Source organism: Homo sapiens, chromosome 12 (genome assembly GCF_000001405.40).
Source record: "Homo sapiens chromosome 12, GRCh38.p14 Primary Assembly".
In the NCBI taxonomy this organism is placed as follows: domain Eukaryota; kingdom Metazoa; phylum Chordata; class Mammalia; order Primates; family Hominidae; genus Homo; species Homo sapiens.
In genome coordinates, this window is record NC_000012.12 from 129,953,637 (window position 1) to 129,978,056 (window position 24,420).

Genomic DNA, 24,420 nt, shown 5'->3' on the forward strand with positions numbered 1-24,420 from the left:
ATTAAAGTTAAACAAGATCATAAGGATGAGAACCTAATTCAATAGGACTAATGTCTTTATAAGAGGAAGAGACATCAGATCTCTCTCTCTCTCTCTCTCCCTTTCTCTCTGTGCACACAGGGTTAAGGCCGTGTGAAGACACAGCAAGAAGGTGGCCATCTGCAAGCCAGGGAGAGAGCCCTCATTAGAAACCAAACCTGCGGGTACCTAAATCTGGGATTTCTAGCTTCCAGGATGATGAGAAAATACACCTGTGCTGTTTAAGCTACCCAGTCTGTGGTATATTTGTTATGGCAGCCTCAGCTGACTAATACCATAGGCAAGAATAATTAATACATTTTATAAATCTCATATAGCTAAGAACCACCTGCTGCCCACCACCCTGGGTAGAAGGTTAACGAGAACAGAAGATTGTGCAGCCACTGCAATTGCACCCCGTCAATGTTCTTCTCTTCTTCCTGGGCACACAGTAAGACTGCATTTCCAACCCCTCTCCCCACAGCCAGATGGAATCACGTGACGGATTATGGGTCAATGAAACGCAGAGAACTGATACACGTTACCTGAAGGCCTGGCCCTTAAAAGCTACTCATGCATGGTCCCCTTAATCTTTATGGACTGGCTTGTGAAAGGGATCCGGAGAAGGTTCAAGCCATGAGTGGAAGGGGCCTGGATCTTTGAGTGTCTACACAGAGAAAAGACTCTCTGTCTACACAGAGAAAAGACTCTCTGACAAATCATGTTGTGTTGTAATGTGAAGGAGAACTAGACTTACTGTGTTAAAACACTGAGATACTCGACTTTATCTGTTTTTCTAGCCAGTATTACTTATCTTCATTAATCAGAAAGAATCCAATCAATATACCAAATAGTCAAGATTTGGGGGTTTTAGTTTTCTAGTCGTATGATTACCAGTGACATTCATGCTTGTTTCTGAGGTTTTCTGTGTTTTTCAGATTTTTAATAAAGGAAATGTTTTCAAGTAAGAAAAAACGTGTATTCTTATAAAGTTGGCTATGAAGGATTTGTAATGACACGGCAGCCACTTCACCGTGCATGACTTTCTACAGGCATGATATGAACTCTATTCCCATGCTGTGCAAAGCATCTGTGAAGGTTCCTCATCTATGTGTAGTTGGTTTTTTTTTTTGTTTGTTTGTTTGTTTTGACGGAGTTTTGCTCTTATTGCCCAGGCTAGAGTGCAGCGGTGCAATCTCAGTTCACTGCAACCTCTGCCTTCTGGTTTCAAGCAATTCTCCTGCCTCAGCCTCCCAAATTGCTGGGATTACGAGCATGAGCCACCGCACCCAGCCTATCTTTGTGTAGTTTTGATTGTGAGGAACAGAATCCCGCTCAAACTAGCTCAACAAAAGGAATTTAGTCAAAAGCAGGGACCACCTTGCAGAACCCAAAGTTAAACTAAATAAAGAGAGCAGGGAAACTCCATGGCCTCCCCAGCAGGAGCCTGTGGCCTCTCATGCTTGTGCCCAGCCATCAGCGAGACTTCTCACCAACCCCCGTCACTTCCTCTCTTGAGGACCGCGAGCTGCCATGTGTCTCCACTACCCATATTTGAGGTTCCTCCTCCACCACCTCCAAGTGTACATCACTCTACAGGAGCAGGATCTCTGGGAGACTCAACCTCTGTGTCAGCTTACAGTCTCAAGAGAGAGGCCTGTATTGGGCTCTGTCTCATTTGAAAGTTGCTTCCTTCCGGGTTTGATGTGCAATTGTGTCCTGTGCAGGCATAATCTGACCTTCAGCTGCCAAAGCACACCCTTCAAAAGACCTGTGGGTGGGCAGGAGAATTCCAGAGAAGAGAAGGGTATGACAGCAATAATTGATATGTCTAGTACCTGGCTTGCCTAGAAGAAAACACACAAAATTGTAAGATTGGATGTATCACTACTACCATTTACTAACAGTTGTCAAGCAATAACTACCTTCCTGGCACCATCTCCCACTGTAATGGAAAAAATAAACTTTAATAAAAATTTTAAAGGGATAAAAAGAGATCCCAGCAGTAGTAGTAATATTTAGAGACAAGTTACTTAAGACATTAAGAAGTTCATCAAGATCTCATCAAGAAAACATTAAACTAACATGATGCTGAAATACTGATCAGGCCAAAAATGCTATGATTCTGTGGAAGTATATACAACTCATACAATATTATGAATATCTACTAAAATGAGGAGAGGCATTTCTGGAATATCCAACATGAACTGTTGCTAGGCCAACACAACAACAATCATCAATAATTATTGAGCATCTGGGTATTTCACAAGTGCTTTTATTTAATCTTCCCAGGGCCATTTAGCTAACTCAAAATCCATTTTAACTCCCCCTTTTACTGCTGCTTCAACTCAGGATGAAAAAGTAGATATCTCTTTCCCTACAGCAAAGGGAAGCCTTGTGACCTTGTACTGGTCAATAACATACAGCAAGTTTGGGCCAGGTGCGGTGGCTCACACCTGTAATCCCAGCACTTTGGGAGGCCGAGGTTGGTGGATCACGTCAGGAGATCGAGACCATCTTGGCTAACGCAGTGAAACCCCGTCTCTACTAAAAATACAAAAAATTAGCTGGGCGTGATGGCGGGCGCCTGTAGTCCCAGCTACTCGGGAGGCTGAGGCAGGAGAATGGCGTGAACCTGGGAGGCAGAGCTTGCAGTGAGCGGAGATCACACCACTGCACTCCAGCCTGGGCGACAGAGTGAGACTCTGCCTCAAAAAAAAAAAAAAAAAAAAAAAGGTACAGCAAGTTTGGTAACGCTTGTGCTTTCTTATTTCTTATTTATTTTCTCATTTAAACAAACGGGGACAAAAAAAGAGAGGAACAGTATGGCTACCACCATCCTCAATTAATCCTGCCTTAAACACTGATATGATGACAGGAGCTGTGGCAGCCATCCTGTGAGCACGAGGAAAGGATGAAGGGATGCATAGGCATAAGGCCCTTGGACACAGCTGAGCCACTGGAGCGATGCCTCAGGACTTCTGCTTTGTGAGAAAAATAACTCTTTACTTGTATCAACTATTAGCAACTAGTGTGTTTCTAATTAATACACATCTCATCTCCATATTGCAGAGAAGGAAACTGAGACATAGGGGGGTTACGTGGCTTTCCCAAGCTGGTGAGTAGCTAAGCCAGTGCCCAGTCCAGGTGCATCAGGATCTGGAGTTTGTACAATTAATATCCTACTCTATGGAAAGAGATGAGTGGAAAGACAAAATTATGAGCATTTGTCCAGTCCTATTTAGAGCAGACTCATGTCACATTGGATGAAAAAAATTAGGTCACTAGAAACCATTCTTTTTTTTTTTTTTTCTGAGGCAGAGTCTCGCTCTGTTGCCCAAGCTGGAGTGCAGTGGCATGATCTCGGCTCACTGTAACCTCCACCTCTTGGGTTCAAGCGATTCTTGTGCCACAGCCTCCCACGTAGCTGGGATTACAGGCATGCACCACCATGCCTGGCTCATTTTTGTATTTTTAGTAGAGACAGGGTTTCACCATGTTGCCCAGGCTGATCTTGAACTCCTGACCTCAGGTGATCTGCCTACCTCAGCCTCCCAAAGTGCTGGGATCACAGGCATGAGCTACCACGCCTGGCCACTTGAAACCATTCTGTATAGTGAAACAGGATAATCTGCCCTGCCCATCCCGTTTGTGTGTCTGTGTGTAGGGGATGTAGCTGGCGAATGAATCAGAGAAAGAGACAGGTGTGAGCCTGCTTTCCTGAGGCTTCCATCTTAGAGGAAGGCAGGCAGATGGCCAATGGCAGGATAACACACATGCCAGATGATTTCAGAGTGAAGATCCCCCGGGAAGCAGCAGGCGGAAGGGTGTGGACCTCTGCAAAGGGCTCTCCCGACTGTGAAGTCACAAATGGGCTTTCTCAAGTACCTGGAGCCTGGCTGTGTGGGATCACATCCCACAGCCGGGTGGTCCCTAAATGAGCTGATTCTCATCAAAGCCGAGAAGCATAGTCAGGTGTGGTGGCTCACGCCTGTAATCCCAGCACATTCAGAGGCCAAGGTGGACGAGCCACTTGAGGCCAGGAGTTCGAGGCCAGCCTGGCCAACATGGAGAAACCTTGTCTCTAAAAAATAAAAGAATAAAGAAGCAGCAGAACTTTGTAGAGTCCCTCCAGGAAGCAGTGCCACGAGGCCTTGGGGCTGCTTACTACAACTGAAGGAAGTGTAAGCGACCGCCTCTCTGAGACAGCCAGGTGGGAAGGGGTCCCCAGAGAAACTCCAACCTGCCTGCACACTGGGGTGGGGCCACAGAGGTTCACGCCACTTGCACCAGGGAAGAGCCTGGCCCCTCCTCTTCCTGGGTGGAACCTGGGATTCAATCTGCGAGGCAGGAAGCATATACTAGCAGGATTCTTGCTTTGGCTTTTCGGAGAGTCCCTGTTACCTTTTTTTTCCTTTTCACCCAATAAACTCTATTTTTATTCCCCTTCAAATCATCTGTGAGCCTAATTTTTCGTGGTCATGCGACAAAGACCCTGTCTTTTTTTTTTTTTTTTTTTTTTTTTGAGACAGAGTCTTCGCTGTGTAGCCCAGGCTGGAGTGCAGTGGCGCGATCTTGGCTCACTGCAAGCTCCGTCGCCCAGGTTCATGCCATTCTCCTGCCTCAGCTTCCCAAGTAGCTGGGACTACAGGCACTCATCACCACGCCCGGCTGATTTTTCATATTTTTAGTAGAGATGGGGTTTCACCATGTTAGCCAGGATGGTCTCGATCTCCTGACCTCATGATCTGCCTGCCTCAGCCTCCCAAAGTGCTGGGATTACAGGAGAGAGCCACCGTGCCCAGCCTGGCTCCTGTCTTTAGCTGAACTAAGGAGAGAGTTCTACAACATTTCGGGCAGTGATTCTTCCACAACATTCTGTAGAGATTCCTCCAGAACATTCTGTAGAGATTTTTCTAGAATGCTCTATAAGAATTCTAGAACATTCCATAGGGATTCTTCTAGAGCATTCAGTTACTAGGATAGCGGCCTATAGACACAGAGCCACTCTTTTACACACCTCTTGGGTTTAATGCATGATTCAATATATATTTCATAAATATGGAATAATATTGGTGCTCAGCAGAGACACAGCAACCTTGGATGCGGTAGAGGAGTTAGCTGGCTTCTCTTACATCTTTTCTTGCCAAAAAGAGTCTGGAATTATCAAAGACACCAGTGACCCCTTCAGCTCACCTTGGACAGATTCCAGAGACAGGAATGGAAGCCGTCCTGGTGTGGAGAGATTTTATTAAGGAGGAGCGTTCCTCACGTCCGTGTCCACACTGCTGAGATGGGTTCACAGGAGTCCCTGCCTTTGAATTGGGGTCTCTCCTGTCTGCACAACAGGGAATTTATTGGCTCAGAGAATCTGAAGAAGGCTGTGTGATTGCCCAGCAGGAAGGGGGTGAACGTGAGCAGAACTGGAAAGGGGGCTAGAAGGCCAGATGGGCCCTTCCTCACCATCCCCCACCCCTCTCTGTGCACATCAGTCTTATCCTCTCTTACTGTGGACCTGAATTCTTTTTTTTTTTTTTTTTTTTTTTGAGACTGTTTCGCTCTGTCACCCAGACTGGAGTGCAGTGGCGCCATCTCAGCTCACTGCAACCTCCACCTCCCAGGCTCAAGCAATCCTCCCACCTCAGCCTCCCAAGTAGCTGGGACTACAGGTACACAACACCATATCTGGCTAATTTTTTTATTTTTTGCAGAGAGGAAGTCTCATTAGGTTGCCCAGACTGATCTTGAATCCCTGGACTCCAGCAATCCACCTGCCTCGGCCTCCCAAAGTGCTTGGATTATGCGTGTGAGCCGTTGCACCTGCCACATACCTGAATTCTTTATTGAGTGGAAAATATGGCTGACCACAACGCCCAGATTTTATAGACAGTAGTTCCACTGCCTTTGGGAATCCAGTTCTTGTTCCCAATTTCAGGTATTAATATCCTAGGGAATTCTCTGATGTGCTTTTGGGTTTACCGGCCTCCCATGGACCATTCATGTGTAGGAGGCATGAAGGCCAGGGCACGTGAAAGCATGCCTGCCGCCCTGGACACTGTTCAGCAGGTCCCAGAAGGAGCCTATGTTTACAGAGTAAGAGGAGAGGCTGACCAGCAAACAGAAGGGTCTGATTCATCCCCAAATCACGAGACGAGCAAGGTGAGAGCATTCTCCACTGTTCCCCTTTGTTGCATCTCTCTACCTCATGCCTCTCCAGCTCCTGTTTGCCTTCAGGCCATTCTCACAGGCAATGCTGAGTGGAATCAACTTCCAGACATAAGGCATAGAAGCCACACTACGTGTGGGTTGCTTGCATTGATAGAAAAATTTCCAGAAAGCTGCTGGCCATCTCTTGTGTTATAGAGAGAAAGAAATCTCTTCATCTCACGTATAAGGCCAAAATGGGAGTATTATTAATGCATCTTAATGCTGACAATGCCATTTTGTGCCACCTACACTGACACTCATATTTGTTTTTGTGATTTATAACAGCAGTATTGTTTAATTAAATGTTAATTGCACCAGGACTACAAACGTATATTCTCTTTGAAATTCAGGGATAATGCTGAAGTTCCCATCAATTATTCTCTCAAACCCACATCTTCTCTTTTCCCCAGGCTCAACCATTGATTTGTTTGTTTTGTACCTTGTTGGACAGCTCTATAAAATTGCATACATGTATTGGAGCCTAGAACCTGAGAGGTTTAAGTATGTTGTGTGTGTCTGTGTGGGTCTTCTTTGAAAAGTCAATAAACTCTGGGTACTTTGGTGCAACTTTTTAATTCAACAATGGATCATGGATATTTTTTATGTTATCATATGTAGGTTTAGCTCATTTTAAACTACATTTCCCTATTAATGGATATTTTCAATTGTTTCCACTTTTTCCTTATTAACCTGTGCTGAAATACTCATGTGTGGAGGAGAATATTTCTCTTGTTGAAATTTCTGAGAAGTGAAATTGGTGTATGCTTTTAAAATTCCAAGTCCTGCTCCTACCAGGAGTGAGAGTGTGAAAAGATACCTGTTTCCGATACCCTCGTCAGCACTTGATACTAACAATCCTTTTAACTTTTATTACAATGTTCTCAAATGGTGGTTTAGAGACATGAAAGGCCATCTGTGAACACTGGGTTTGTACATTCCAGGCAGGTAATTGGCACTTGTAAGATGGGAAAATAGTTTGAGTAAAGCACAGCATTTCATTAACAAAAGCTGACTTTTAAAATCAAATGATCTACTATTTGCAGGATTTTAGCCTTTTGCTCATCCCAACAGTTAACTGCAAAATTGACCGTCTTTGTAAGTTGTTCCCAAATGATATACACTCAGCTCCCAAACAAGATGTCATTAAGGAGCTTCACTCTCTGCGCTTGATGGAACAGCAGCTGCTTCTTTGTGAAAAAAAAAATAATAATAAATAAATAAATAAACAAACCCCACCACAGTATACTTTTTGAAATGGTCTTAAAGTCGAGAAACGTTTGTGGGACATGATTCTGCAACAAATGGAACTTTGGATTTGTGTGTTGGGTGGAAAATTGGACTGGAAGAAGTTTAAAATCCTTTCCAACTTGGACAGCCTGTGTGCCTGTGGTTCCCTTGGTGATTCTCAATCATAAGGATGACTAATTCATTCAACAAAATATGACTTTATTTCCTGCCATCTGCCCAGCACTGCTCAGGATGTGGGGATGAATCAGGGAATGAGACACATGGACCTGGTTTCATGAGGCTTCCATCCTAAAGGCAGGCAGGCAGGCAGGCAGGCATCGGCAAGATAATGCACCTGCCAGATCATTTGAGAGACTGGGAAGTGCTCACGAGAGATAGGCAAGCTGTCTTGATGGAGACGGACTGGAGAAGGAGGTTAGGAAGCTAGGAGCTGACATGAAACTACATTTCCCTACTACTGGATAATGGTCAGGAGGATGCACTCTAAGGGGGCTAGGGATGAACATTAAATTCCAGGACGAGGTCCTGAGAGAGGCTCTGCTCTGTTACCTGACAGTCTAGGAGGGGACAGTCTATGAGGGGACCATCAACCCTTGCTTAAGGGCAGGACACCAGACTGAATCATGTCAGCATCGCTTCCAGATTCGAGATTCTACAGTTTTCTAAAATGCTGGCAAATCTGAAATCTGAGCTCTTCTCCCCACAGACGCAGGAGTCCACGATGTGAGTGGCATCCACAGCTCCCCGTGGTGATTTGAAGGAATGCCCCTTGGCATCACCAGCCTCATCCTGACTGTGGCCATCACTGGAAATTCATATGCAAAGAAAAGAGTCTTTCTTTTCTTTCTTCCTTCCTGCCTTCCTTTCTTTTCTTTCTCTCTTCTTTCTCCCTTCCTTCTTTTCTTTTTTTCTTTTCTTCCTTCTTCTTTCTTTCTTTATTCCTTTCTTTCCCTTTTTTCTCCTTCCTTCCTTCTTTCTTCTTTCTTTCTTTCTTTTCTTTCTCCTTCCTTCCTTCCTTCCTTCCTTCCTTCCTTCCTTCTTCCCTTCCTTCTTTCTTCTTTCTTTCGGTGGAGTTTCACTCTTGTCACCCAGGCTGGAGTGCAATGGGGTGATCTGGGCTCACTGCAACCTCTGCCTCCTGGGTTCAAGTGATTCTTCTGCCTCAGCCTCCTGAGTAGCTGGGATTACAGGTGCCCACCACCACACCTGGCTAATTTTTTTTTTTTTGTATTTTTAGTAGAGATGGGGTTTCATCATGTTGGCCAGGCTGCTCTCGAGCTCCTGGCCTCAAGTGATCTGCCCGCCTTGGCCTCCCAAAGTGTTGGGATTACAGGCGTGAGCCACTGCGCCCGGCTGGAAAGAGCTTTCATTGTGTTTTACCAGGTTGGTGTGGTTCACTTTTATTGCAGTTTTTGAGTGACAGTGGAGTAGTAGGACTTGGAGGGTAGATTGTCAGCCACTCATAGCTGTGAGACCTAGGAAAAGTTCCTCCACTGTCCCGTGCCTCAGTTTTCCCCTCTGCAAAGTCCTCATGGATTTGGGACTGGTGGGTTACTTCACATAGATAAGGCATTTGATGTCCGCCGCACAGTGAGCCCTCGACTCAAACTGGCTCCCCTTGCCAGGGCAACCCTCCCTCTGTGTCCCGTGTGGTGCCCGGCTTCCTTGGGGCAGGCGTACAGTGAGATTTAGGGTCCAGGTGGGTTGGCCTTTAGTTCTGTGTCCATGAAGCTTGCCTCACAGGTGGCCACTGAGTTGGTGAGCATCTCCCTGCAGGTCCGTCCCTGGTACATGCAAATCTGCCTGTTGTGTGGTCTCCTTAGGCACATCCTTCTCTGGGGTTTTGTCACCTTCATGACGATGCCAAAATACCCACACAGCACTTGGCCTGTAGAGAATCCCCTCCATGATCCCTCCTGCTTTTTAATTTTTTTAAGAGACAGGGTCTGTCACCCAGGCTTGAAGGTAGTGATGCAATTATAGCTCACTGGGCTCAAGAGATCTTCCCACATCAGTCTCCTGAGCAGCTAGGACTACAGGTATGTGCCTCCATGCCCAGCTATTTTTTTTTTTTTTTTTTTTTTTGTAGAGACAAGGATCTCGCTATGTTGTCCAGGCTGCTCTTGAACTCCTGGCATCAAGCAATCCTCCTACCTTGGCCTCCCAAAGTGCTGGGATTACAGGCATAAGCCACCATGCCTGGCTTCCCCTCCTGCTTCTGAATTAGACAGTATTGATCTCCAAACCCTCTCTGGGACATTGATGTTTGGAACAAATTCAAGAAGTTTCCCAGGCTACTTTTGCTCTCTTCTCTATCATATCTATGTCTGAGGCTGACTTTCTGCTTGAAAGGGAGTGAGAGGGCACAGGGAAAAGATAGGTGTAGAGAAATATGTCAAGAAGGGCATCCCAGCTATGTGGGAAAATGTGCCTAGGCAGCTATCAGGGCTGACGGCATGTTGCTCAGGGCCTTGCAGGACACAGATGTCACATTCCAAAGGGACGATGGAGGGGAGTTTAGTGAAGGCACCATTGTCAAGGGTGGAGGCAACATGAGACTAGTAGCAGTAAAGCCTGATGCCACCCCAACACCTGCAGGGTCAGGGGAGCCTTCCCTGCAGGAGCCGAGAGGATCCACAGTGAGATGCAGCCAACCCATGGAGGCCCTGCAGGGGAGAAGCCAGTGGAAGGAATATAACAGCCTCTCTACTCCTGCCCTCCGTCTTCTGCCAGAGTGTCTCACTGGTTGGATCCCAAATCCAACCAAAGACAATGAAACCTATGAATGCATTTATAAAACATCCCCCAAGACATAGAGCAGTGAAGAGTCTAAGGGGTAAATGGGAAGTGTCTAGTGCAACAAGCTTGTGCTCTAACCCAAACTGATGAATGCTGGGGTCTTCTCTGCTGGAGAGAGCTTTTGCCACATTTCATGCAATTTATACATTTAAGGGACCAGACTCAGGAATCCAACTTTCCTGTCTCCCAGACTCTTGCCACCTAAAAATAGACTGATGAACAATTTTTGTGTAGAAAAGCCAAAATCAATTCAGTAATGGCTACTGCTGCCTTCAACAGTGGAAAAGGTGGGGAGAAGGAGGCAGCACCCTGAGAATGCATGAAGGACTGTGAGGAATGGGCTTTCTACTCACAGGTAGAATCCTATTTAATCATAAGCTCGAGAGCAGGTTTTGCTACCTTCCATAACATCCATAAATTATCCCCGTATATTTAAGAGTCGGGTTCATTGATTTATAATACAGTTCATTTATAAAAACCAAACTTATTTCACAGATGACAGCAGCTACTTGAAATGCTCTTTAAAGGGAAGATGGCCTAAAAATTATCCAGTTTGGTCTGAAACAAATTATTCACAAGGAATGCAGTGTCAGCAGGAAATGGGCCACGTATTAGTCGCTGACAGGATGAGACCATATCAGTATCTGATAATTATTCCAGCACTTCAGGATGGAAACACACTGATAAGATGGGGAGTGGGGAGCGCCAACGGAGGCCACAGATGCCCAGCAGCAGAGAGACATCATGCATGGTCTACCATCTGAAAAATATATTTCGGGGGCTACTGATTTTTCTCTTTTAAAAGAGGCAAAGTGGGTATATTGAAACGACCTGAATGTTAGAGTATCACCCAGAGTTTGTGGTCTCATGGCCGTGGAGAACAAGGACATGGAGATATGAAGAGTGAAGTTAAAAGTGGAAGTTTAATTGGCAAAAGAAAGAACAGCTCTCTGCTGCAGAGAGGGGTCCTGGAGAAGTGGGTTGCCGGATCCATGGTGAAACACAGGGGGTTTTATAGATCAGCTGGTGAGGAGGCAGTGTCTGGTTTACATAGGGCATGAAAAACTGGTTGGACCAAATGTGCCATTTGCATAGAGTGTGAAAAACTGGTTAGACCAGAAGTGCCATTTGCACAGGGCTCGAATCTCTGGCAGCCCCCACCCTAATCTCTTACTATGCAGGTGGGTCCCCTGCCTCAGCTGTGCCATGTTGCCCATTCCTTTACTGTACACCTGGTAACAAAAAAAGGGAAGATGGAGCCTCCATGTTGGACACACCTGGCCCCCACGTAGCCCTTTTCTATTGGCACAGCTGCCGGCATTCCCCCGTGCAAGCTTCCAGCTTGCTTATCTATGTTTGCAGCTTGATTTTTCAGGCTGCTCTTTGTTAGACAAGAAATGTTTTCCTGGGCTGCTTTGTGTTAGAAGGGAAGCTCTGCTGAGGACTCTTTCACTCTATCTACCTAAATAATTTCTTTCTACCTCCTTTATCAGTATTATCTATTGCTGTGGAATGGATGACTATGAGCTTAAGGTCCTAAACAACATACAGTTATTATCTTGTGGTTTCTGTGGGCCAGGAGGCTGGACATGGCTTTGCTGAGTCTGCTGAGAATTGTGATCTGATCGAGGTATCACTCAGGGAGGAGAGCTCATCTGAACGTGAGGCTGGGGAAGGAGCTGCTTCCAAGCTCACCTAGGTTATTGCAGAAGTTCCTGTGGGCTGCCCTCCTTCCTGGCCTCATGGATCCCTGACATGGCCTCTTGCTTCATCAAGCCAAGAAGAGAGTCCTAGCAACCTGGGTCTCCCAATACCACACAATGCAAACATGCATATCCCATCACCTATACCACCTTCACCTTTACCACCTTCTACTGGTTAGAGCAAGTCTCAGGTCCTGCCTGCCCTCTGGGAAGGAGACCACACAAGGGGGTGAACATCAGCAGGAACAGGATGGAGACCACAGTGAGAAAGGCAGAAAACTATCTTGGGGGAAGAAAAGGAAGCTGGAAAGAGAAAGGAGAATGATAGCACGAGACACAAAGATGGATATGTGAAAGTTGCAGGAAAGTGGCTTTAAGACATTTGTTATTTCCGAATATCTGAGCCCTTCGCAGAAAGTAAAGCAATGAAATTTCACTGGAACAAAAGCTGAGAAGAAAGGCCCAGCCCTTATTTTATTGAGTGTTGTAAGAGCAACCAACACCAAGAGGTCAACCAGAGAATTCCCACTGACTTTACACCAAAGGACTTTTCTCTGTTTTTTCCCAAGAAAGCCCAGGCAAAGAGAAATTGTTTTGCTGGCTCCTTCCCATTTGCATCTCGGGCCTCAGGGAGGCACCGGAGCGCCATTCAGACAGACCCATCAGCTCTAATCTCCTTTAATAACTGAGCGCTCCCACCCTACAGCGGCCCTGGGAAGCATTAGAATGAGCTGGGGATGGAAAGCATCCCCTCTGTTTTCCAGGATTTTAATGGAGTTGTTGAAAAGGAGGTTTTGTTCAGCAACTTACTGTGCCCCAGGAGGCCTGCAGCAGCCAGGCTGGCTACTGACAGAGTAAGGAGGAGACAGACTCAATATTGTAAATGTCCACTGAAAGCTCCGAGAGGAAAGAGAGGTAGCAGGGAGCAGGGAAGGCAGGAAGGCTGGGAGAGGGTGGTAGAAACACTGTCACGATGGTGAGTTCTGTCTGCTGGAAACCAGACAGGCTGTTCATCCCAGTCTGAATTCCTGACACAGTAACTCAGCTCCGAGGAGTTTCAGGGTGATCCACCCAGCTCTGCTCTACTTATGTAAGGAAACAAAAAGAGAACTCCTCCCCAACCCCCATCATGTCACTCGATATTTCTTCAGAGCCCTTTCCCTTCCTGATCACAGGAGGTCAGGCAGAAAGGCTTCTCTTTGGCTTCCGACAGCTTCTTTTTCTCCCTGAACTTCACAGGAAAGATTATGACAGTGCTGCCCCAAAGCAGGAGCTATGGTCCTCTGATTCTCTGTGGAGTAATTAGATCACATAGTGAGAGCATTTCTCCTTTGTAAACCCTCCAAGGTCAGAGTCTCTTTGGGCACTGGCATGGCTGTGATGCTCCCGCTCTCGCTCGCCTCCCTTCTAGCACAGCAGGGCCAGGAGTTCGGCTTGCAGCCTTGGCATACGGCAGCACATATCTAGAATGGTGCTCATTGCAGTTATTTCTTATGGTTGACTTCTATTTATAAAACATTGTAATGACTGTCCAGTCAGGTAGCAGTAACATTTTTCTTTTACATTACATTTATGGAAGTTAAAACGGTGATTCTGTGAAGCTGGAAACTCTGCAGGTTGTTAAACTTCCTATGTGATCTACTGTAAGATAAGTCATTATCTAATGGACCACCATGCTGGAGGGTCTGTTGTCAACTCAGCCCACCACCCTTCCAAGGTTGAGAACCTCGTGTCCCAGGATCCCTTTCCAGGCACAGTTCAGGTGTGCTAAAAAGGGGAATTTGCACAAGAAGGCACAAAAGAAGTAGAAGCTTGTATTCTCCAGGGTCAGTTGCAAGCAGGCAAGTAGGCAGATAAGAGATTCACAGTGGCTTCTGGACACACTGCTAAACCATTCACTTCACTGCAGCCAACTGAAGTGGTTGGTGGAGCTTGGTGGACTGTCTTGAAGCTTATAATCGTTCCTAAAAAGTCTTGGAGAATCACTGGCTTTGCTTCCACCAGAGGCGTTCAATGTCAGCTCCTCTCACCTTTCACAGCAGCCTCTCTACACACTCTTGGAAGGATATTTTAAGGAGGTGAAATAATTAATGGCTCCTCTCTAAGCAATATTGGGGGTGGTTGAGTTGGGTGGTTATGGTGAGATATTAATCGGTCAAAGGTCCATCCTCATTCAAACTCATTTTTGTTATCATCAGCAGCATCTTTAGTGGTCAGAAAGCACCTAGACACATGTCATGTCACAGGAGGTCAAGCACATGAGTGACCTGACACACCCACTCCACCAAGAGCAAAGCATCTCAGCGGCTTCTTCATTGAAGGATAGTCACTTGCACATTACTGGACACAGAGAGCATCCTGTTGGCCATTCTGCATCAGCAATGGCACGATGAATACACACTAGTGTTGAGTGGAGACCAAAGTGAGCTCCAGTCAGGGGTGTTGTGATGCTGACAGCGTGGGTCCTGCAGGCAGCATCAGCCTGAGGAGCAGGGTATGAAAGGCAGGGCTTATTAACAGAGATGACTTTCTATTGCTTTGCTGGAATGAAACATTAAAATTATCTTCAGTAATAGTCACCAAACTTTCCTAACTATGAAAGAAATGTGTTTTACAGTCATCTCTCAGAAAAGTTTGCCTTTTAGGCACATTACAGGATTGCATTTTGCAACTTCTTCTTGTGCAAGTGGGTCCAAGCATGATTAGATCTCACCCAGCACAGGCGCCAGTGAGACTCTCCAGTCCTGTTTTTCTGCAGGCAACTGGCAACTCTTTTGAGGTGGTATCTGCTCCCTCAACCTGGGTCCTGAGTGACACTGATGAGGAGAGCAAGCCCTGCTGATCAGTTACAAACATGCAGCACAGACAAGCCATGAAAAGGTGTTTTTAAGCTACTGAGATATGGGGATTCTTTGTTACCACAGCATAACCTATCCTATGCTGATTGATATAGTTATGTGTCCATGTTGGTTTTATGTCAAACAATGCACTGATATTTGGCATTATATTTTACTCTCTTTCATTTACCTCTAAAATATTAGCTGCAATCCAATGGTTTCATGACTCATGATGGGTATGAAAAACATAGTTGCAAATGTACATGTGTTTTTGTGATTGGTTGTTTGATCTCTGCCTCCCTGCCTACATCATAGCACCATGAGGCTGGTGGTATTTAGTGAATGAATAAAATTATTCTATCTAGTTATTTAGATGTCCTGACCCCACTGATGATACTTTTCAAGTTGGCCTATAAGCCCAGCACGGACTAAGAAAATGAGCACCACCTCTCATGGGGAGAATGAGTCGATTTATCACTGAGAAGATGGGCATAGTGGGGCAGCAAGGCTGGGAAGACTATTAATAACAAAGCCAGGATTAACTGGCTTTAATTTTGCATGTGGTTTTTACCAAATATCAAGAGAACGGAGCTCCTTATGTTACTTTGTTGTCTTGAGATGCTCACATATAGAGCTTCTCTTGGAAATAAGCCTACACCTCCCTGCCTTGTGGGGAAATGGGCTGGGATCCATGTCCATGCAATAAGAAATTGAACATTAACGTAATGTCAAAGAAGGTAAGCTTAGAATGAAATCCATTCAATTATTGTACATTCGACTTTAATCTGAAAGAAGCTTCTTCGTTGCCTTGGCTGCACTGCAGGTAATGGAAAGGTAAAATTGGCTTTAAACTTTTATTTTATTCATTGTAAGATAACTGATTTCAAATATTGAACTTCCTTCAGAGAAACAATAAATTACTTTCTGAAATATAAATTATGCCAATAATGGATGAGCTGGATATAAATGGAATTCCATCGTCCTTGGAATGTATTCGTGTGTGCATTTTTCTACAAATGGAAGAAAAGAGAATTACAGTGGTGAAATAAAACAGTAGCACCGGTATATTATTATATGTTCTCTAAAGATATACAGCCAGTGTGTTGTGTGAATTAAATGAACCACAGAGGCTGAATATCCTCAGGAAGATGAACCTCAGACTTTAAAATAAAAAGGGAAACATGAGCCTCATCTTACTTATAAAATAAGTGAGCGCTACCACCTAGAACATTCCAGGCAGTTCTGCTCTGAGTTCCTCAAGAAGGTATTGCAGAGCTAGACAAGGTCCTAGTAAGACCAAGTGATTGGTAGAGTTAGTAGCTTCCGCAAAACAGTATAAAGGGGTTTCCCTTTCATCTTGTTTTCTGAAAAAGTACAGTGATGATGCAAAAAGAAGATGTCCTTTAAGAAAGGTACCTGCACTTTGTCCTATTCACTCCATGGATCTAAACAGAACTCATCAGTAGAATGCACTGTTTCTCTACTTGTTTTGCAGGTAACAGCTGGCCATTTTGGACAGGTGAAAGTGAAGCCCAGATTCAATTCTAAAAATAAGAAGTGGAGATAGAGGTGACAAACTTTTCTGTGTGAAAATGTATTTTCTCATCCAAGAAATATTTATCAAGTACCTGCCATATACCTGGCACTTCTCCACACACTAGGGAAATGGCAGTGCACAAAATGAACAAAAGTCTACATCCCATGAAGATTTTCTCCTAATATTAATAGAAAGATGCCATACATTGGCCTAGGCAAAGATTTTTTGGATAAGAACTCGAAAGCACAGTCAACAAAAGCAAAAATAAACAAATGGTATTACATCAAACTAAAAAGCTTCTGCACAGCAAAGGAAACAATGGAGTAAAAAGACAACCTGCAGAAGGGAGAAAACATTTGCAGCCTCTGCATCTGACATGGAGTTAACATCCAGAATAAAAAAGGAATTCAAACAACTCAACCACAACAGAAACAAACACTCGAGTTAACAATGGCCCAAAGACCTGAACAGACATTTCTCAAAAGAAGATTTACAAATGGCCAAACAGTATCTTTAAAAAGGCTCAACATCACTAGTCATCAGGGAAAGGTAAATCAAAACCACAATGAAATGTCAACTCATCCCAGTTAGAATAGGTATTATCCAGAAGAAAAAAAAAATAACAAATGCTGCTAAGGACGTGGAGAAAGTGGAACTCTTCTGCACTGTTGATGGGAATGTAACTTAGTACAGCTATTATGGCCAACAGTACAGAGGTTCCTAAAAGACTTAAAAATAGAACATATGACCCAGCAATCCTACTACCAGGTATATATCCAAAGGTAATGAAATCAGGATGTTGAAGAGATATCTGCACTCCCATGTTTATTGCAGCGCTATTCATGACAGCCAAGATATAAAATCAACCTAAGTGTCCGTCAGTGGATGAATGTGTTTTAAAAATGTGGTATAGCTGCATACTATTCCATGGTGTGTATGTACCACATTTTCTTTATCCAGTCTATCATGGATGGGCATTTAGGTTGATTCCATGTCTGTGCTATTGTGTCCTTTGCAGGGACATGGATGGAACTGGAGGCCATTAGCCTTAGCAAACTAATGCAGGAACAGAAAACCAAATACCAAATGTTCTCACTTATAAGTGGGAGCTAAATGCTAGAAGACATGGAGACATAGAGGGGAACAGCACACACTGGGGCCTACTGGAGGGTGGAGGGTGGGAGGAGGGAGAGGATAAGGAAAAATAATTAATGGGTACTAGGCTTAATACCTGGATGATGAAATAATCTGTACAACAAACCCGCTTGACACAACTTTACCTATGTAACAAACCTGCACGTGTAACCCTAAACTTAAAAGTTTTAAAATGTGTTCTATATACCCTATGGAATACTATTCAGCCATAAATATAAATGAAATCCTGTCATTTGCAACAACATGGATGAAGAGCCTGAAGGACATTATGTTAAGTGGAATAAGCCAGGCACAGAAAGACAAATACCGCATGATCTCACTCACACATGGAATCTAAAAAAGTTGATCTCATAGAAGTAGACAGTAGTATTTACCAGAAGCTGGGGTAAAATTATTATGTGTCAATTAAAAATAAAATAAGACTAAACAAAAAGATGTCATAGTATGTTAGAAGGTGATAAGTGTTATGTAGAAAAATATATTGGAAAAGGGGGACAAGGAGTGTTGAGATGAGGGTGGATCCTGGCCTTAGATAAGATGGTCAGGGAAGAGCCTACTGAGAGGGAGACAGTCAAACAAAAACCGTATATTGATGCAGAAGACAGCATGCAGAAATCGGAGGGATGGACTTGCAGATAGATGCAGAATTTTTCAAACCTAGTGCTGTGTGAGGCAGCTGTCCTGGGTACTGTAAGATATCCAGCAGCGTCCCTGTCTTCTACCCACTAGGTGCCATAGCACCTCTCCCCCATTGTGACAAAAATATCTCCAGACATTGCAGAATGTCCCCCAGGAGGCAAAATCGCCTTTGGTTGAGAACCACTGAGCTAGAAAAAATAGCAAATGAGAAGGCGCTCAGTTGGAGACCTGCCGATGTTTTCCAGGAACAAGGGGGCTGGTTTGCCTGGAATAGAGTGAACAAGATAAATGCATGAGAGATGAAGTCAGGAAGACCATGGAGGCCACAAGCATGAGGCCCGTGGGCCATTCTGACACTGAGGTCTACTCCACATGAGGTAAGCAGCCACTGGGGGCTCTCAGTCTATGTCAGGGTGCAAGCAGTGCTGGACATCACTGCCTCTCCAGGTCTCGTCTCTACTCTTCCCTGCCCTCCTCCACACCATTACCAATTGCACCCAAGGGCTCCTATGGCCTTTGGCTTCCTGTCAGACTTGGCCTGTGGTAGCCAGAGAGAGGCTCTCTCTACAGCTCCACTCCCTGGGCCCTGGCTACCACCTCCTTCTTTGCCTCTTCAGGTCTAAGATAGTAATGGCTCCCGATTGTTAAGACCCACAAAGCACTGCATCATGCATGCCCTTGTTTCCTCTTGCTCCTGTCCAGCCCAGTGGATATCTATGCTCCTGTCCACCCCAGTGGATATCTATGCTCCTGCCCAACCAGTGGATATCTATGCTCCTGCCCAACCAGTGGGTATCTATGCTCCTGTCCACCCCAGTGGATATCTATGCTCCTGCCCAGCCAGTGGATATCTATCCTCCTGTCCACCCCAGTGGATATCTAGGCTCCTGCCACCCCAGTGGATATCTATGCTCCTGTCCACCCCATGGATATCTAGGCTCCTCTCCACCCGAGTGGATATCTATGCTCCTGTCCACCCGAGTGGATATCTATGCTCCTGTCCACCCCAGTGGATATCTAGGCTCCTGTCCACCCCAGTGGATATCTATGCTCCTGTCCACCCGGTGGATATCTATGCTCCTGTCCACCCCAGTGGATATCTATGCTCCTGTCCACCCCAGTGGATATCTATGCTCCTGTCCACCCAGTGGATATCTATGCTCCTGTCCACCCGAGTGGATATCAATGCTCCTGTCCACCCAGTGGATATCTAGGCTCCTATCCACCCGAGTGGATATCTATGCTCCTGTCCACCCCAGTGGATACCTAGGCTCCTGTCCACCCCGGTGGATATCTATGTCATATGCCCTCCGTGTTCTTCTAGGACTCTGATGAATGCAAAATTCATGAGTAAACCTAGAAAAGAGCAAAAAGTACAGCTGGCTCCCCAGGCTTCCCAGGGTTGAGTCCAGCTATGGGGACAAGGTTTATGTCTCCATTTTGCCTGGATGCATCTAATTTGAGAGTTGTCTCAAAGAAGCAGACAGATCCACACAACAAAAGAACACGCTTGGGTTTTAAAATAAACTTTGTTAAATAAAAAGGCTTTAAACAAACTTTGTAGCTGGAGGCCTTCTGCCATATTTACAGGCACCAGCAACACCGTGGTAGCTGTTTCCAAGATTTGCAGCCTCCCAAACTCCTGCAGAGGCTGGTGACAGGACTGGCAGCTTATCTGCGATCTGGGGGAGGGCAGAGTGCTTCCATTTTGTGCCTGTGGAGTTCTAATTCCAAACACCACCACCAGCAGCCTAAAAAGACAAAAGCAGAAATTAGAGTGGTCTCAGATAAGCAGGTAGCTTGGGAAGAGAGATTGGAAGGGAAGGTTTGAGGAAATAATCTAACAGTCTAAAGTCCGTTAAAGTAAATATAGACCATGCATTTTTTTTTTGTTTTTTTTTTCTTAAATTATATAAAGTAAGTCATGGAGCAGGAGGGAAGGCTAGGTAATATAATAATGACATAATCAGTGTTGAGGCCAGAGAAATGTGGACAAGCCAGGCCATGAGAAAGTTTCGTTCAATCCACCTGGTATTGTCTGAATGTTAGAATTCTAGACTTCCACATCTGAGAGCTGGAGTAGATGTACTTTTCCCTATTCCTCCTGCTAAGTAGAGCTAACATCCATGCTTTACATTATCTGTAAAGCAAACAGGACCCAAGGAACAATAGGACGGTGAAATCTCTGGTTTTATTTTTGCCTCATGTAATCTAAATTGAGTGCTAGAGATGCTGATGCTTCAGAAACACCAATGGATGCAGATGAAAAAGGCCCTAAGTCTGCTCTTTTTATCTCAAACATAAGGAAAGAAACAGACTAGCCAGACAGAAAAGTTTTAGATAATTATGCTGCTTCAGCCACATACCACAGAAAAAATGATGACCCATTCTACCACTGCCAGTCAAGATTGAGACTTGACCTTCTCCACTAGTCACGGTGAAGGAGACCAACCTTCCTGTGTGTCAGTGGGGGACAGATGAGGAGCAGCAACAAGGCCCACTATCCCCTTCCAGTGAGCGTGGTGCTGTCAGTGGAGCCCTGAGAGTTCAGAGAGTCTGAACTCCCACCCTCACCCAGCAGCAATGAGGAGCCCCTCTCCCCAGGGGTCAAAGGAGACAGGGTGAGGAACCTGGATAGAAATGAGGCAGCATTGTTCTCCTCCATCCCTCCAACCAGAATGACATCAGAGAAAGCTGCTGAAACAAGATTAAAATAATATCCAGAGTGCTGTAGCATAATGCTTAAAGTGAGCAGGTTTGAATTTTTAAAGTCCTTCATTATACTAAGAATCAGGGAACTATCAACTCGAACGAGAAAAAGCAACTAATTGATGCCAACATGTAGATGACACACAGAATTATGTGGCTAGGATTTTAAAACAGCCATCCTGAAATTACTTCAATAAGTGATTCAAAGCACACTTGAAGCAAATGAGAAATAGAAACTTCAGCAAAGAAATAGAAAATAAACAGCAAATAAGTAGAAGATACAAAGAGAACCAAATAGAAATTACAGAACTTAAAAAGAACTGAAATAAACAGCTCAATGAATAGGCTCAACAGCAAAATAGAGGTGACAGAGGAAACAAGCAATTAACTGTTATATAAGACAGAACAGCAGAAATTGCTCAACCTGTTCAGAGAGAAAATAGACTAATTTTTTTTAATGTGAGACCCAGAGACACACTGGGACTATACCAATAGATTTAACATTTATGTCTTTGGAGTCTCAGAGGGGAAAAGAAAAATGGTGAGGTTGAAAAGGTACTTTAAGAAAAAATGGCTTAAAAGGCCCCCAAATTTGGCAAAAAAAACAAAAAACAAAAAAAAAAACAACAAAACATAAACCAACAGGTTCAAGACTCAGTTGACCCCAAACAGGACAATCTAAAGAATTTCATCCCAAAATGCAGTATAGCCAAACTTCTGAAAATGAAAGAGAAAAAAATCTAGAAAGCAGTGAGAGAGAAACAATACCTTATATATAGGGAGGAAACAATTTCAATAAAAGAAGATTTCTCACTAGAAACCTTGGAGGCCAGAAGAAAGTAGCAAAACCTTTTTCAAAGGCTGAAAGAAAAGAACTGTCGACTCAGGATTCTCTATCCATTTAAAATATCTTTCAGAAATGAAGGAAAATCAAGACACTAGCAGAGGGTGCAGAACTAAGTGAATCTGTTGTCAGCAAAGGTGTCCCAAAAGAACGACTAATGGAAGTTATCTTAACAGAAAGTGATAACAGAAGAGATCTTGGAATATCAGAGACAAAGAAAGAACAATGGAAAGAAGAAAAAATGGGTATGTATAATAGGCTTTCGTTCTCCTCAGTTTTCTAAATTATATTCGAGATATGAAGCAAAAATTATAACACTGACATGGTTCTCACCGCATGTAGAGGAAATATTTAAGATAATCATGTATGAATGTGGGAGGGTAAAGGACATGAAGAACATGAAGGGAAGTAAGGATGACTTGAATGGGTAAAACCAGTAGACTGTGGCAAGTTATATGTATAAAATAAAATACCTGGAGCAACTGCTAAGGTCTACACTGTGCAATACACTCAAAAACACTATAGAGAAATCAAAACAGAATTCTAAAAAATAGTCAAGTAATTCACAGGGAGTCAGTAAAAAGGAGACAAGAGAAACAAACAAAAAACAGAAATTACAAACAGAAAACAAAAAATAAAATGAAAGACTTAAACCTTAATATCAGTAAAAGATGAGTTAGCAGATGAGTATTCAAAGGCATACAAATTGATATGATGGACTTTGGAGACTCAGAAGGTGGGGAGAGTGAGATTGGAGTATGGGATTAAAAAATTACATATTGGGTACAGCAAACACTACGCGGGTGACAGGCGCACAGAATTTGCTACTATGTAATTCATACATGTAACCAAAAATCACTTGTACCCTAAAAGCTATTGAAATGAAAAATAAAGACAAATTAACAAAATTGATTTATTAAATGACCCAATGATACACTGTCTATAAGAAATTTATTTCAAATATAGCTACATAAGTAGGTTGAAAATAAAGAATGAAAAATGATATGCTAAAGAAACATTAATCAAAAGGAAGCAGGTGTGCCTATATTAATATCATATAAAGTGGACTCAGGGGAAAAGAAATTTTCAAGAGACAGAGAGAGACATTATACAATGATAAAATAGTCAATCCACCAAGCAGATAGAGTAATCCTAAATGTTCATGCCTCAAACAACACAGCTGCAACACAAGCAAAACAAAAACCAATAGAATTAAAACGAGAAATAGACAAAACAACAATTATAGTTGGAGACTTCAACAACCTCTCTAAACAACTGATTGAAAAACTAGGCAGAAAACCAGAAAAGATGTAGAAGAACTCAACAACATCATCAACCAATTGGATCTAATTTACATTTATAGGATACACCACCAAACAACAGCAGAACGCACGTTGTTTCCAAGTGTCCACCAAACAAATACCAAGATAGGCCATTTCCTGGGACATAAAACACACCTCAACAAATTTCAAAGAATTGAAATTATACTAGCTGCATTTTCGGAGCACAGTGGAATCAAACTAGAAATCAACAACAGAAAGGTAATGGGAAATTCTCTACACACTTGAAAATAAACACACTGAGAAAATCTCAAAGACTCTCAAAAAAATACATTGGACGGAATGAAGTGAAAATAAACATATCAGAATGTGTGGCATGCAGTTAAAGCAGTGCTGTGAATACAATTTACAGCACTAATATTTTACATTACAGAAGAGAAAAAGTCTAAAATCTGTAATCTAAGTTTCCACTTCAATAGCCTAGAAAAAGTAGAACAGCGTAAACCTACATCATGCAGAAGAAAATAATAGAGTAGAAATAAAAGAAATGGAAAACAAAACTAAAATTAAAAAAAGAAAAGATAGTGAAAATCAATGAAACTACGAGCTGGTTCTTTGAAACAACCAATAAATGCAACAAACTTCTAGGAAAACTGGCAGGGAAAACAGAGGGAGAAGAAAAAATCACCAATATCAGGAATAAAACAGGGACTAAAACTACAGACTCTGTACACATCGAACGGATTAGGAGAAAACACTGCAGACAACTCTACACACATAAATTTGACAACTTGGATGAAATGGAATTTTAGGTATGACAGATCTTGTTGCCTCATAAAAGGAAGAAAGAGCTTTGTGCCTATGTGATGAGATTATATCTTGATGTACAAATTTGCACCTTTTTTTAAATTTTTTTTTATTATACTTTAAGTTCTAGGGTACATGTGCACAATGTGCAGGTTTGTTACATATGTATACATGTGCCATGTTGGTGTGCTGCACCCATTAACTTGTCATTTACATTAGGTGTATCTCCTAATGCTATCCCTCCCCCCTCCCCCCACCCGACAACAGGCCCCGGTGTGTGATGTTCCATCATTCTCAGCAAACTATCGCAAGGACAAAAAACCAAACACCGCATGTTCTCACTCATAGGTGGGAACTGAACAATGAGAAATTTGCATCTTTCATAAGTACTTTCTTCACCTTTCATTTTCTCATTCTTCTAAGTATCTGTGAATGCCAGAGACCAGCCCTGTGGCCAGCAATCTTCTGATGGCCCTGAGAATCTGCCCTGCAACATTATCTTCCTGCCCACTGTGCCATCATCCTAGAAAATCTATTTTTTGGTATAAATTTAAGGGGCACAATTATAATTTTGTTACCTGGCTATATTACATAGTGGTGAAGTTTGGGCTTTTAGTGCATCTATCATCTGAATAAT

The 24,420-nt window shown here is 43.6% G+C and overlaps 1 long non-coding RNA gene across 3 annotated transcripts; it reads left to right on the forward strand.

The window, feature by feature from the left end:
• The first annotated feature begins 3,946 nt into the window (after positions 1-3,946).
• Positions 3,947-22,154, forward strand: LOC105370076 (uncharacterized). Of its 3 annotated transcripts, XR_945543.3 has the most exons (4): positions 3,947-4,231; positions 5,730-6,177; positions 18,389-18,520; positions 21,770-22,154. It is a non-coding gene; the product is annotated as an uncharacterized LOC105370076 (long non-coding RNA). The 3 variants fall into 3 exon arrangements; XR_945542.2 differs by lacking the exons at positions 18,389-18,520; positions 21,770-22,154 and adding an exon at positions 7,269-7,419; XR_945544.2 differs by lacking the exons at positions 18,389-18,520; positions 21,770-22,154 and adding an exon at positions 6,636-6,767.
• Positions 22,155-24,420: the final 2,266 nt, after the last annotated feature.